Genomic DNA, 16,558 nt, shown 5'->3' on the forward strand with positions numbered 1-16,558 from the left:
AAAATCTTTTTACTTTAGATCACTCATGCTAGGTATGGATCTCCTTACCCTTGGCCTCTGAATCATATTTTGGCCTATCAAAAACAGTGGGAAGTCAAACGTAAGATGAAAGCTATTGGATGGGGAAAGAAGACTCTGGACCAGGTCAGTTCAGGTTGAAGTTGACAAAACCCTCAACTTTTATGCATTAAAAGAATCATTCTTTATATTGATACTCCTTTAAAAAAATATATATAAGATTTGCAAGAAAACCATTTCCTGTGATTTTCACTAACATGAAGTAATTTTATTTCTAAAAAATCATACATGCTTGATGTAAAGCAAACAATGCAATGCAGATATGTGTAAAAAAGCAATAAAACTTGCCTGAAATCTCATCACCTAGAAAATACCACCCTTAACTATTTGGAGAGCCTTCTTCTAGATGTTTCTTAGTAACATTTTCTCAAATGGGATCATTATGCCTGCTACTGTATAACCTGAGGGTTTTTTTTTTTTTTTAATTGAACAATACATTGTGGGCACCTTTTATGTAACTAAATATAGATCTGCAGCATCAGGGCTTAAAAAAAAAGCCCTGTTAAATACAGTACTTTGTCCGTCTGTCTGTCTATCTATCTGTCTATCTGTCTATCTATCTGTCTATCTATATTTTTGCTACTAAAGTAGCAAAACTTAAAAATACTTATCTTGTCCACAAGCATCATTAAGTTAATTAATGCCCGTCTTTTCCAAGGCTACCCTTAATACTAGCCAGCCATCTCACTGATGTGTGCCATTGGCTACAAGGGGGTTTCAGTAAATGAATAGGGATAGAATAAATAAAAATCTATCTCCACTAGTGGGAAAATAACTCAAATGCTTTTACTCATAGTGGGTCAATGTTGTTACCTTTATTAAGCAGATTTTTTGGTATATGCAAAGCCATTTGAATATATGGATTCAGGAAGACACTTTTGTTCTTGACAAAATCCTTATAAGTAACTTAAATGTACTTGTATTTTGAAGGACATTCACTGAGAATTTCTTCCTATTTCTTGTATACAAAGTATTATATATATATACTTATATAGAAAGTATTTCTTATAAGTATTTCTTATATAGAAAGTATTTCTTATAAGTATTTCTTATATAGAAAGTATTATATATATATGTGGTCTATGGTCTTATTAAAATATATTATAAAAGGTTAACTTAAATTTATATTTTTGTTATAAACTGTGATACAAGTTACGTTTTAGATACTTTTTATTGTTTTGCTAATTGAAATACTTTTCCTTGGGGTTCATTGCCTGTGTTAGGTCTTAGAGGATGTAGACCAGTGCTGTCAAGCTCTCTCTCAAAGACTGGGAACACAACCGTATTTCTTCAATAAGCAGTAAGAAATTTTACTTTTTTAAAGTTAATTTTCTGTACTGTTAGGTTGCAAATTTCTTTTTTTCATAAAAGAATTGCTTTTTCAAGAAAATATTTAGCTATTTTTATAATTTTTGTACTCAAATATTTTTGTGGCACTTTACTCTCAGGCACAGTGCTAGGCTCTAGGAGACTAAGATTTCTAAAATATGGTCCTTATCATTAAGAATTTCTCTTAAAGGCAGTCATGTAAATCAATCATTGTATGATAAGGTTTTAATGAGGTAGTTCAAGGTGCTATACATGGAACTACAAAATCTTAACAAAATTCTAAACTTGTACTATTAAACATGAAGGAAAGTAAGTTACTATTAATGTAACTATGGTTTTCTATATAGAATGATAGCTGGAGGATTAGAAGAGTCAATAAAACTAAATATTAAAAAATATTGTTTGATGGACAAGCACTATTATGAACTTATCTTTTAAAATGTTAATGAAAATATTTGTAAAACACAGAAATTAATATAAAGGATATAGGTTAAATATATGTGTATATATGTAAGTTGAATAATGTTTCATTAATAGATTTGCTTTTGCAGTTTTGAAAAGACTCTAATGAAGGCAAAGAATGAATTTTCCGTTGTTAAAAAATTACAATTTTAATATATCAGAATCAGCTGTCCTGTGATCCAGTGTAAGATGGGCTTAAAGCATTTTAATCTCAAAACTTTCCCTAGAAAGTCTGACCTTTTCTTGACATTTTAATAAAAATTATTTGATTTTTAGATTAATAATTTCTAAAAGGCTTTATTTGCTATTATGTGTTATATCGTCATAAGCATTCCTCTTCTATAACCATATCAAACATATTTGGGTAAAGATAATATTTGTAGTAAAAATGGCTATGATGATAGTTTGGAAATATTTAAGTTATATTAATCTATAACACAAGTAATATATACATATATAATTGATATTAAAATCTGGGTTCTGTTGATCTTTGAAGCAGAAAAATCTTCAGAATTCAAACTGTGAAATTCTGGTGGGTAAAGCTTCTACAACTCTGTTCCTGTTTCTAGTGATGTTTGCTCTACAGATTCTATTTTTCAGTCCCTAACACAAGAGAAATGTATCCAAATGTCAATATTACGTGATTTCTTTTCTTTCTAACAGAGGAATTCTTAGGAATTGAAAAGCTCAGAAGGGGTGTGTTTTATTGAAATGCATTATTCTATTTTAGTTTTGTTATGCACACTGTCTTTAGAGGAGGCCAGGAGAATAGATCTAACTTACTTTTCTTCTCAGTTAAACTCATTGTCATTGTGTTAGTAACCAGAGTTTGGCATGTGACTCAGTGGAAATATCAAGATATCATTTTTCTTCATAAGGGCACAATTACATTTACACTTGTGATGAAAACTTCTAACTTAGAACAGTTCAAACACCAAAGCCTTGCTTTTGAGGAACTATTTAATTGATATTATGATGTAGAGTTTTGACATAATTTTCCTTTGCGTGATACTTAGATAAACATTTTCCCTAAAAATAAGATTAAAGATAGAAGAGATTTGATTTTTAATTTTATTCGATCATTTAATTAATACTAAAATGCAAATAAAGTACATTTAGAAAAAAGTAACTGGTATTTCACTTCCTTGTGCCAACATTTTTCTCATTCCTTTATCTGTAGCAGGAGTCATTACTTTGTGAGATACTATGTTGAATAGAGCTGTGGCCTAAGTCAGGTATTATACTGCAAGTCAGAGGGTCTGAATTCTATTCTTGGCTCTGACATATCTCTAAGTTACTCTAATTTCTCTATGTGTATGCCAGTCCTAAAATTAGAATTAACCCCCTACAATTAGAATTAATCCCCTAAAATTAGAATTAACTTTCCTTCTAGCTCAACTACTGGGGATGTTGGGAGGACTCGTGAAAGAAACCAAATACCGTTACTTGATGAGAGAAAAGGAAAAGGGTAGTTAAGGGAGATCTCACAGAAAGAATAATAATTGGGAAAAGAGGCCAAAAAGCAAGGGGCTTGATTTACAAAACTTGGGTGACAGCCCTAAAGATAAGTGATTAGGATGTAAAGAAAAGATAACGTAGATTATTTCTAGTACTATAAAGAGATGAAAAGTTAATGGGAAAGAACAATTAGGAAACACTCAGACAAAATTAATGCTTTTGAAAGCATTAATATAGATGATACTATGAAGGTATCAGAGAGAAATAAATGTGAAATAATGAATAAGCAAAGCAAAAAATATGAGTGCCAGAAAAATCTTAAATGGAAAATGTTAGGAAAATGTTGAATTTTACTGAGTGCCAGAAAAATCTTAAATGGAAAATGTTATGAAAACGTTGAATTTTACTGTTTTTGTTTTGATATTCAAATGAAAAAATAGTAGATAACCAACAGGAATGTGGAAAGAATAATAATGTAAGAAGGCATCAAATTTCTTAGGACTTTAAAAATATATTTGTCACCCTGGAATATTTTTCTAATAAAAAGTCTATAAAGATAAATGCAATAATATATGAAACATCTTAGAGCTCATAGGAGGGGAATTGCTATCTATATTTGAATTATAATCACAAACTATTTGGTAAGCAGAAGGGTAGAAAGTTGTGTTTTCTCTTCACGTGATATAGCAAGATAATTAAAATTGGAGGTATATGAAGATCTTGACTTGATTAAATAGTTCAGTAGAAATACTGGATAAAATATGTTACTTGTCTTTTTGTTAAGTCAGGTTTATTGATGTGTAATTTACATCTAGTAAAATTGGCACTTTTATGCGTGTAGTTCTATGAATTTTAACAAAGGCATACAGTTGTGTAACTGTCACCTATCAACTAAAATATTATTTGTACTTCTTAAAAAGACTTGTTGGAATCAGTAATTTATATATGTCAGAGTCAGTGTAAGGAGTTGCTCAAATTTGGAAAAATTACAAAAAATATGCTTTAAAGGTTAGTGTGTGTGGATATATACAGTCATGCCCTGTATGGCAACCTTTCAGTCTGTGATGGACCAAATATATGATGATGGTCCCTTGAGATTGTAATATATTTTTACTTACCTTTTCTGTGTTTAGATATGTTTAAATACACAAGTATTTGTGTACCATAAATACACATTATCATTGTGTTACAGTTGCCTACAGTATTCTGTTTGGCAATGTGCTGTATAGGTTTGTAGCCTATTAGCAATAGGGTGTACCATATACTCTAGGTGTATAGCACCATCTAGGTTTGTGTAAGTAGACTCTATGATGTTCACACAGTGAGAAAATTGCCAAACAGTGCATTTCTCAGAATGTATTCCTGTTAAGCAACACACAACTGTATGTGCTTTGGTTTAATCTGTTGAATTCTACTTCTGTTGATGTTCTAAAGTAACTTGCCACAAAGTTGCTGTCTTTATGTAAAATCAGATCAGTTTTTATATGCTCATGCCCATATATAATTCAGTACCTCTGGAGTTATGTGGATATATATTTGCAACAAACCACTTCAGGGGTACTTCTGGAGCACTCTCATTTGAGCATACATTGATAGTTGAACTCTTTCAGAGCCTTCATTTATTAATAAAGGGTGCCCATCTATACTACTGGAAGTTGCATCAGAGAATATATGCACCTTTTTTAGGCTCTAGTACAAGAAGTATAGGGTAGCTGGCACTAAACAAGGATTAGGAAAATAAGTTCTAAATTGGTAAGATAAGATGTACCTCTTAAGAAATATGTTTAAGGATGTGGAAGAATTGGTGTTTGTATTATTCTCACCAAGTGCCTCAGCTCAGCTCCCCATTTATCCACTCTACATCCTTGGTTTTTTGCAGGGATCTATTCATTATTGGTTCATTCCTGTGATGATAAGATTATGGTGCTGTTGAGTCTAAGGACCCTTGAGATTTTTTTTTTTAAAACTATACTGTTGGCTACCCATTTAAACATGGCCATAGATTGCACATTTGACTTTGATTAACACTTCATGAATGTCAAAAGAGTGGAAGGCTTTCAAAGAATGTAAGTTACTACTATTGAGAAAATTAAATATTCCACACATCTTAGGATGCTTTCTTTTTTAATTCATGTATTTATTCGGCAAGTGCTACTTCAGTTCCTTAGATACTGTGCTAAGAACTGGGAATATAAAGATATATACAGCATTGCCTTTGAAGAGCTTGGAGTGTAGTGAGGGAAACAGTTAAGTGAACACAGTTATAATATGGTATGAGAAGTGTGTCACCTTTTTATTGGTTCATTCAACACAAATTTATTGCACAATTCCTGCTTTGTGCAAGGAATTGTTCTAGGTATTGGGGTTACAGCAGGAACCAAGTAGGTGAGGTCCTTTCTCTACAGGACTTTCTGGTAGAGGAGATGCACAATAAGCAAAAAAAAAATTATATGGTATTAATTATCAAATGTAGAATTAAAAAAGGACCACATGATAAGGAGTGACTACATGTCCACTTTAATTTGAGTGGTCTGAGGAGACTTTAAGATGTGCCATTTAAACCTTATTCTAAAAAATAAGGAGCCAGTGTGAAGTCAGAGGAAGAGTATTTTAGGCAGCAGGAATAGTTATAGTCAAGGTTCCCTAATTGGCTTGAGTTTGTTACGTTCAAATGCAAGAAACAAGGCCAGTTTGGGTTGTATGCTATGAATGGTAGGATATGAGGCTAAAGAGGCAGGCAGAGGCCAGATTATCAAGGCTCTGTGTGCTTAGTGTAAGGAGTTTGGCATTTTAGTATAAGTAGAACAGAAATCCATTAGAATATTTTGTGCTTGGAGTTGGTATGATCTGCTGACATTAGTCATTCTGACCATGGTATGGAGAATGAGTAGAAGCAGTAAGACACTTTAGGAGGCTATCTCAGTGGTCTAGGTGACAGATGATGGTAGGTTACACTGTGAAATCATAATGAAGAATAAGTGGTGGCATTCAGGGCATATTTTGGAGGTAGTGTCTCACCAGACTTGCTAATGGATATAGGAGGGTGAAAGAAAGAACTCAAGAGTAGCCCCTAAATTTTTGGCCTGAACAGCTGGTTGGATAGTGGTGCCTTTTATTTTGGGAAGTTTGGGGGACAAGCAGGTTTGGGATACTGTAAATTACTGCTATTGAGAAAATAAAGTATCCCACACATCTTAGTCAAGATGCTCCACATCCTGCTCCACAGATACTCCACATTGAAGTGGAGATGTTATGTAGGCATTTGAATGTATGAATCCAGAGCTCAGGGGAGACATTAGGACCAGAGATAAATATTTAGGAGTCAGTGGCATCAAGATGGTATTTAAAGCCATGCATCTCTAGGAGACTACTTATCAATAGGGTTCAAGGCCACATAGCTAGTAAGTGATAGTATTGGAGTTCAAATTTGGATTTTTACCAACCCCCAAATTTATTCTGCCAAACCAGATTACTGCAACATATTTTCACATTTATGTAGGCTAGCACATATTTTCTCAAAAACTTTATCACTGTGGGACACAGTAATAATTAGCTCGTAATTATGATGACATTTTCTTGTTTTAGTAATAGTGCATTAGTAATTATTTTAATATAATGTAAATTGGTGATGCCCCATTTATAGATCATTAGTAGTGGGGTAGATTTCATTTTGTTGTTAGTAATATATAATTACAGAGAAAAAAATTCCTAGAAATTTTTATGTTGAAGCCATCCTTATGATTTTGTCTCCTTCAGAAATCTAAGTTACTTTAAATGTGGTAAAATTAAAGTTGTGTCTTGTTGTTGATTTGTGATTGGGTATCATTTTTTTGGTCCTATCACCACAGCGAAATCCTTTGTGCTTTGACAGCATTTTGTTTATGCATCTATTAAAACACTTAATAAATTGTATTTATTAAAACAACTTTATAATTTATGTTTCATGTACATGTCTTAGAGTATTTTTCTTGTTTTTATGTCTAGCATTTGGTATGGTTTCTGGCACATTGGAGATCTGCTATATTTAGTGAGAAAAGTAATGAATTAAATGAATATGATCATTACATCTATATTATTTTAACACACCTAAATGTTGTTACTAAAGAAAGCAAGTCACACAACTAGCAAATCATATTTTTTTTCCATATAGCAGAAACTCCAAGAAAAGTTATATCAAGTTGTGGTAGGATTTGTTTCTTACGTGGCTTTTTTCTTTTAAGTTGATGAATAAAATGATTTTAAAAAACATATCCACGGGGGTCTTTCAAGTATCCACAGGACATTTGTTCCGGGACCCCCACAGATACTAAAATCTGCAGAGTTCAAGTCTCTTATATAAAATGGCATAATTGCTTACGTAAACTTAATGTATTGAGAAAGAAAGAAAAAATGGTGCAGTGTTTGCATGTAATCTATGTACATCCGTATATTTTAAATCATCTTTGGATTACTTATAGTACCCAATACACACAATCTAAATGATATGCAGTAGTGTGATCTCAGCTCACTGCAACCTCCACCTCCCGGGCTTAAGCCATTCTACCACCTCAGCCTCCCGTGTAGCTAGGACTATAGCCAAGCACCACCATGCCTGGCTAATTTTTGTATTTTTTGTAGAGATGAGGTTTTGCCACATTGTTCAGGCTGGTTGTGAATTCCTGAGTTCAAACAGTCCGCCCACCTCAGCCTCCCAAAGTGCTGGGATTACAGGCATGAGCCACCATGCTTGGCCTATATTGTTATTTCTAATCTTTTAAAATATTTTGGATCTGAGGTTAGTTGAACCTACGAGTATGGGACCTGTGGGTGAAGAGGGCCAACTGTGTTTTCTATTGTAAAAGTTAAATGCTACTTACTCACATTACTCTCATTTCTACTTTTAGGCCTACTGAACTTGACGCACTGGTATTTGGCCATCTATACACCATTCTTACCACACAATTGACAAATGATGAACTTTCTGAGAAGGTGAAAAACTATAGCAACCTCCTTGCTTTCTGTAGGAGAATTGAACAGCACTATTTTGAAGATCGTGGTAAAGGCAGGCTGTCATAGAGTTATGTGTTAGTCTCAGGAGTCTTAACTTTTGAAATATGTTTTACTTGAATGTTACATTAGATATTGGTGTCAGAATTTTAAAACCAAATTACTGCTTTTTGAAACCTCAAATTATATAATGTATCTTATGTATGTGCTTTATATTGTTATTTGTGTATACATTAAAATAATTCTGAATTATTTAATCTGATATGTTGTATTCTGTATCTTGAAATTTTTGTTTCCTTGAAACATGCATGCATTTAAAAATAAAGCTTAAACAACTGTATGGATGTTACATTTACTTTCTTTTGATTTTTCTGAAAGTCATTCACTGAATTTTACACATGTGGAATAAACAGTGTCTTTTCTAAGGCAAGTAATTTGTGTTACATACTCCCAAGATTCCCTTGCTAGTTACATGGTGAAGCAGATAATGGGAATAAACGTTCTTAACAAGTGTGCACTTAGAAAATATGGATGGTTTTAAGGTAATTAAATTTTGGTGCAGATTTGACATTTAAGAACATTCTTTATATAGAGACTTAATTAAAAAACATTTCATCAGAGCAGCTGTGATTTACATTTGATAAAGGAAAAGTTTGAGGAACCTTTTTTTTTGAGACAAGAACATTTTAATAATGCTCTTTTATTCCTTTGTGGGGAAGGGAAGATAGTTTTCACAAAAGTATTAACAGGAATTTTTATGTAAACACTAAGGATTATATGTTGTGTCCTTTCCAAATTTTCTCATAGTTTATATCTTATAAAACCAGGGATGCTCTGAAGAGACAGACGTAAAAAATGATTTCTTAAAAATGTCTAGAATAATAGTACTTTTATATTTTCTTTTTATGTACCAGGGAATTTTAACTTATTTAATCCTTATAAAAATAGGATGGCTTTGCAGACACTGCTACCATCTGGAGGCGCCTGCCATCAGCCATTATCAGCTCCATGTTCTCCCACATAGCTGCCAAGTAGGAGTTCCGCATCTCCTTTGGGCTGTTTGCAGGCAAAGTTCCAAAGACAGCAGAAAACTTTTGTGTCCTGAGCACTGGAGAGAAAGGGTTTGGTTTAAGAGTTCTTGCTTTCACAGAATTATTCCAGAGTTTATATGCCAGGGTGGTGACTTCATGCCATAATGGCACTGGTGGCATGACCATCTGTGGGGAAAAATCCGATGATGTGAACTTCATCCTGAAGCATACAGGTCCTAGCATCTTGCCCATGGCAAATGCTGGACCCAACACAAATGGTTTCCAATTTTTTATCTGTAGTGCCAAGACTGAAGGCTTAGATAGTAGGCATGTGGTCTTGGGAAAAGGTGAGAGAGAGGGTATGAGTGTCATGGAAGCCATGGAATACTTTGGGTCCAAGAATGGCAAGATGAGCAAGAAGATCACCATTGCCAACTGTGGACAACTCTAATAAATTTGAATTTTGTGTTATCTTAACTACCAGACTATTCCTTCTGTAGCTCAGGAGAGCAACCTTCCACTCTACGTGTTTGCAATATCCCATAATCTTTGTGCTCTCACTGTAGTACTTTGGGTTCCATATTTTCCTTATTCCCTTCTACATCTAGCTAGATTGAATGGTTAATTTTATGATTATAAAATAAAAACTTGACAACAAAGACAAAACACCATGAAGGTTATTATTCCCAGTTTACAGATGAGGAAATGGAGACACAAAAAATACCTTGTCCAAGGTCATAAAGTTGGTAAATGGTAGAGTTGGAATTCACACCCATGAGTCATGGCATCAGTTTGGCTTTTTTTTTAAAGTTTTTTTTTTTTTTTTTTTTTTTTTTTCTGGGGGACAAGGTCTCACTGTCACCCAAGCTGGTGTGCAGTGGCATGCTCATGACTAATTGCAGCCTTGACCTTCCTCCGGGCTCAGTTGATCCTCCTCCCTCAGCCTCCATGTAGCTGGGAGTCCAGGTCTGCCACCATGCCTAATTTTTGTATTTTTTTGTAGAAATGAGATTGCACCATGTTGCCCAGGCTGTTGTGGAACTCCTGGGCTCAAGTGCTCCACCCACCTCGGCCTCCCAAGGCTCCTACCTGTGTTGGGATTACAGGCATGAACCATGGTGCCTGGCCGAGTTTGGCTTCTCATCACCATGCTTTTTTTTTTTTTTTTTTTTTTTAAGATAGAGATTTATACCATGTAAAGGATACATTAGGTTTGCCTTCGTGTAAATCCCATGTAAACTTTGAGTACTGTCTTTGGACTATAGTGCTCTTAGTAGGTTTCCTGAGCTAATATTGTAATGTGTATTATTAAAATCCCTAGCTATCTGTGTTTTTGTACAATTTTTATGACAGGTTTTGTATACATTTTTGTGTACTGGTATATAATGATGTATTTTTTTCTTTTAATGCTACCATCACATTTATTTAATTGTACAAGTACCATTTGTACCTCAGTATACAAAATTCTGATGTTTTCTTTGAGATTTTTCTATATAAAGATATAAAGATGCAATGTCAACATGGGTTGTGATATTTTATTTTATTTTTGAGACAGGAGCTCACCCTATTGCCCAGGCTGAAGTGCAGTGGTGCAATCTCAGCTCACTGCAGCCTTGACCTTTTAGGCTGAATGGATCCTCTCATCTCAGCATCCCAGGTAGCTGGGACTACAGGTGCATGCCACCATGCCTGACTAATTTGGGTATTTTTTGTAGAGATGAGGTCTCACCATGTTGGTCAGGGTGGTCTCAAACTCCTGAGCTCAAGTGATCTGCCCACCTCCACCTCTCAAAGTGCTAGGAGTAGAAGCATGAGCCACCACACCTGGCCTGGTTGTGATATTCTAATCTTAATGATTATAACTGACTGTATTCTTAATATGAGGAACACTGGGAAACTGGTTGTTTTATTCCAAGTTGAGGTGCTTACTCTTATTTAAGACTTACATGGCTCACTCTCAGAGGGCTTGTTTCTTTCTAGTGTTGAGGTGAATCACCCTTGGAACAATACAATAGAAAATGGAAACTGACGTCTCGTTTTCGTGATTCAGTTTTTTTTTTTTCCTTTATCTTTTAAATTTGAGTTTGGAAAGCCAAGTCATAGTAGTTAAAAATTATCATGTAAAACCAGTTTGTTGACAAATGCTGCCAAAATACTTACATATATTGTGAATTTTAAAATAAGCACATGCATCCTTATTTAAATAAAAATTTAAATTGTAAGTAGTTCTTCAGAATGATGGTTTTACATATGAGAAACTTTAAATCAACAATGTCTACAGTATCATATTTGATGACTGGAATGATCTACATTATTGTGTTTAAAATAATTTTATCTTCTATGACACTTTTTAGAAATCCAACGTACTACTTTTTAATTGATTTGAATATTGGATGAGTAGCTGTAGTATTAGTTCATTAGGTACTCAAAATCAGTGGTCCCCAACCTTTTTGGCACCAGGGACCGGTTTTGTAGAAGACAGCTTTTCCATGGGATGGTGGGGAACGGGGAATGGTTTCAGGATGAAACTGTTCTACTTCAGATCATCAGGCATTAGATTCTCATGAAGAGCACACAACCTAGATCCCTCACATGCACAGTTCACAATAGGGTTTGTGCTCCTATGAGAATCTAATGCCACTGCTGATCTCACAGGAGCCAAGGCTAGGGCTATATGCTTGCTTGCCAGCTGCTCACCTCTTGCTGTGCAGCCTGGTTCCTAACAGTAAGGGTCCATGGCCCAGGGGTTGGGATCCCTCCCCTAAATCCAGAAAAATTAGAAATTATAAAATATGTCAATCTGAAAGATTAGTATAATAGGTCTTGATGCTTTTTTGATGAACAAATAGTGAATGGTATTTTACTATTGTATATGGTTGTCATTTAATCATATAGGTGTTATATTGAGGTATTTTAAGATGTTACATTCCACAGTAAAATTTAAGATACTATAATTTTTTTGAACATACTGACATTTTTGTTTATTAAAACCAGTGGCTTCTTGGTCAACTATTTTGTAGTATGTCTAATCCATTTATGTTTACATATATTAAATCATTTATAAATTTTATTGAGCCTTAAAAGGAAATATTTAAAGGTTTGATTATATCTAGACTGATATAAATGTTTTCCTAATTTGTTTTTAAATTTCTAAGAATTGAAATAAGATTTCTATCTTTATTTTTTCATTTTTGCTGAATTATGGCGATTGTGATAAGACTGTAATAGTTTCTCTGAGATTTTCTCCTTGGACAATCCTGTTTTCTGTGAATATAGTTTTATTTCAGCTTTTCCAATCTGTATGCCTTTTTGTTTTGCTTTTGTTTTGCCTTACTGCACTAACTAGCACAGTGCATTGTTCAATGGGAATGAAAAAATGGATGTTCTTACCTTGTTTGTGGTATCTTAAGGGGCAAGTATTCAGTCTTTCACCATTAAGTGTGAGAGTAGGTTTTTGTTGATGCCCTTTACTGAGCTGAGGCAGTTCCCTTCTAATCCTGGTCTGCCGAGTGTTTTTTTTTTTTTTTAAGGTCATGAATAGATGGTATATTTTATCAAAGGCTTTTTCTGCATCCATCGAGTTGATCATAGGTTTTTAAAAATTTTATTCTGTTGAAGTGGCTAATTATATTAATTGATTTTCAAATATTAGGTCAACTCTAGTATCCTGGGATAAATCATATTTAATTGTGATATATTATCTCTTTTTATATTGTTGGATTTTATTTCCGGGTGTTTTGTTTAGGATCTTTATGTCCATAGTCATGAGAAATGTTGGTCTCTAGTTTTCCTGTAGTGCCTTTGCCTGGTTTTAGTATCATGTTAATATTGTCCTCATTAAAAGAGGTGGAAAGGGTTCTTTCCTATTCTACATTTGGGAAGAGTTTAGATTTGATATTATTATTTTCTCTGTAAATGTTCTGTAGAATTTACCAATTTTACCACCTGGGCCTGGAGGTTTTTTTGTGGAAGATTTTAAATGAAAATTTTGATTTCTTTAATATACTTAGGACTCTTCAGGTCATCTGTTTCTTGTTGGGTGAGCTTTGGCTTGTGCCTTTCAAAGAATTTGTCCATTTTCTCTAAGTTATTGGATTTATGGGCATAGAGTTGTTTGTATTTTTTTAATTATCCTTTTAATATCTGTGGCACCTATAGTAATATCCCATCTTTCCCTTTTCATATTTGTAAATTATGTCAGTCCGGTTAGAGGCTTATCAATTAAAAATTTCCCCCTAGTTTCCAGTTTCATTGACTTTCTTTTTTCTCTCTGTAGTTTTGTTCTCAGTTTCTTCTCTGTTCTATCATTGTCATTTCCTTCCTTATACTTGCTTTGGGTTTAATAGTTTCTTAATGTGGAAGCTTAGACTGACTTGAGACTCTTTTCTAATATGGGCATTTAATACTATAACTTTCCTTCTAAACACTGCTTGGAATTTTGATATGTTGTGCTTTTATTTTCATTTAATACAAAATATTTTCCAATTTCCTCTTTGATCTATGGGTTATTTATAACTGTATTCTTTAATTTGAAAATATTTGAAGATTTCTCAGATTTTGTTCTGTTATTGATTTCTAGTTTAACTTATGTTTCTAGAACAGACTTTATATAATTTGAAGTCTTTTAAATATGTTCAAGTTTGCATTGCGGTTCAGAATGTGGTTATCTTGGTGAATGTTCCATGTGCAATTGTAAAGAATGTTTTAGGGGCTGGGCACTGTGGCTCACCCCTGTAATCCCAGCATTTTGGGAGACTGAGGTTGGCGGATCACTTGAGGTCAGGAGTTAGAGACCAGCCTGGCCAACATGGTGAAACCATGTCTCTACTAAAAATACAAAAAGTAGCCTGGCGTGGTGGCGCACGCCTATAATCCCAGCTACTTGGGAGGCTGAGGGAGGAGAATCACTTGAACCCAGGAGGTGGAGGTTGCTGTGAGCTGAGATCGTGCCACTGTACTCCAGCCTAGGTGAGGGAGTGAGACCTCGTCTCAAACAAACAAACAAAAAGAAGAATGTTTTATTCTGCTGTTGTTGGGAGGAATATTCTATAAATATTAAGTTGATCAGGTTGGTTGATTTTATTCTTGGTTGGCTGGTTTAATTGTTCTATATCTTACTGATTTTCTGCCTCCTTGTTCTTCATTGCTAAGAGAGGAGTATTCTGCGTTGCTGAGAGAAGGATGTTGAATTGTGGCTTCTTTTTCTCCTACCATTTCTATCAACTTGTTTCATGCATTTTGAAGATCTCTTGTTAGATGCACATACATTTAGGATTATTATTTTTTCTTGAAGAATTGATCCCCTTAGCAACATGTGCTCTTTTTATCCCTGATATTTCTTATTCTACAGTTATTTGTCTGATATTAATTTAATTATTTCAGTGACTACTCAGGGTTTCTTTAGATTAATGTTTGTAAAGTTTATATATTTTTTATTTTTTACTTTTGAGACAGAGCCTCACTCTGTCTGGAGTGCAATGGTGCAGTCTCGGCTCACTGCAACCTCTACCTCCTGGGTTTAAGCCCTTCTCATGCCTCAGCCTCCCAAGTAGCTGGGACAACAGGGACGCACCACCGTGCCTGGCTAATTTTCTATTTTTAGTACAGATGGGGTTTCACCATGTTGGCCAGGCTGATCTCGAGCTCCTGACCTCAAGTGATCCTCCTGCCTCAGCCTCCCAAAGAGCTGGGATTATAGGCATGAGCCACCGCTCCCAGCTGCAAGGTTTATATATTTTATCATTTTACTTTTAGCCTACTTGTAACCTTTTATTTAAAATATATTTATTTCTTTGTTTTTTTATTTGGATGGAGTCAGGAGTCTCGCTATGTTGCCCAGCTGGTCTTGAACTCCTGGCCTCAAGCAATCCTCCTGCCTTGGCTTCCCAAAGTGTTGGGATCACAGACATTAGCCATGGTGGCAGCCTACACTGTGTTTGTATAAACAGTTCAGAATTGAGTCTTGGATTATCTGACAATCTCTCTTTTAATTCAGGGGTTCCCAACTCCTGGGCGATGGACCGGTACCAGTCCCAGTCCGTGGCCTGTTAGGAACCAGACTGCACAGCAAGTGAGCGCCCAGCAAGTGAGCATTCCCACCTAAGACCCACCTCCTGTCAGATCAGCAGCGGGCATTAGATTCTCATAGGAGTGGGAACACTGGCCACACCTGTGAATCCTGGCCTAGGTTGCCTGATCCTTATAAGAATCTAACTAATGCCTGATGATGACCTGGGGTGGAACAGTTTCATCCCGAAACCATACCCCTACCCCACCTTGTTCAGTGGAAAAATTGTCTTCCACAAAACTGGTCCCTGGTGCCAAAAAGGTTGGGGACTGCTGTATTAATTGCTGCATTTAGGACATTTTCATTTAATGTAATTATTGACATAGGTGGATTAAAACATCATCTTGCCAAGTGTTTCCTATTTGTTCTGCTTGTTCTTTGTTTCTTATAACCGTTTATTATTTTGATTGACTTTTAATGAGGCCATTTTGTCTCCACTCTTGGCTTATTATTTATAACTCAGTTTTTTAATAATAGCCAAGGCTTACAATATACATCTTTAATCACAGCTTATGTTCAAATAATACACACTGTACTCCAGTCTGTGGCTTGTCTTTTCATTTTTCACTGGTGTCTTTGGAAGAGTGGAAGTTTTAAATTTTAATAAAGTCCAACTTACTAACTTTTTCTTTTATGGAGTGTGTGTTGTCATATGTAAGAAATCTTTGCCTAATCCAAAGTTGCAAAGTTTTTCTTCTATTTTTTCTTTTAGAAGTTTTATTGTTTTAGCTCTTACATTTAAGTCTATGATTCATTTTGAGTTAATTTTAACGTATGGTGTGAGGTAGGAGTCTCCTCTTTTATTTTTTTCATATGGCTATGCAATTTATTTTCCTTGGCACCTTTTGTTCCATCAACATGTGACAAAATAAGGATAGAGATAGGGGAGAAGGATCCAACTGGGGGCTTTAAGCCTTTCCTACAGCTGCAACTGTTCTCTCCAAAGAGCAAGGGTCACTTTCTTAGGATTCCTACCGTGTCTGCAATTTTTTAAAAAAAACTTTCTGTGAGGTTCTTGGAGAAGAACCTATGAATGAGTATGAATTCCCCTTGTGTCTGTGACCCCCAGGGTTTTTAGAGACTCTTGTTTGCTTATAATAAACCTTTAGCAATTAGTTAAAAAATTTAGCTTACTTTTTCTTACCAT

At 34.7% G+C, this 16,558-nt stretch overlaps 1 protein-coding gene and 1 pseudogene across 5 annotated transcripts in view; both read left to right on the forward strand.

Moving 5' to 3' along the window:
* The window catches only part of MTX2 (metaxin 2), a 68,584-nt gene extending 59,841 nt beyond the window's left edge, over window positions 1-8,743 (forward strand). For 3 of the 5 annotated variants that reach the window (NM_001006635.3, NM_006554.5, XM_047442985.1), the window contains 3 exons: window positions 19-144; window positions 1,302-1,378; window positions 8,211-8,743. In NM_001006635.3, the coding sequence (NP_001006636.1) occupies window positions 19-144; window positions 1,302-1,378; window positions 8,211-8,382 (375 nt within the window). In that variant the 3' untranslated portion in view covers window positions 8,383-8,743. The remainder of the gene's footprint in view (window positions 1-18; window positions 145-1,301; window positions 1,379-8,210) is intronic. The other 2 variants (NM_001319097.2, NM_001319098.2) reach the window with 2 other exon arrangements.
* PPIAP67 (peptidylprolyl isomerase A pseudogene 67) lies at window positions 9,355-9,795 on the forward strand (annotated as a pseudogene).

The sequence above is a fragment of the Homo sapiens genome, chromosome 2, assembly GCF_000001405.40.
Source record: "Homo sapiens chromosome 2, GRCh38.p14 Primary Assembly".
Lineage (NCBI taxonomy): Eukaryota > Metazoa > Chordata > Mammalia > Primates > Hominidae > Homo > Homo sapiens.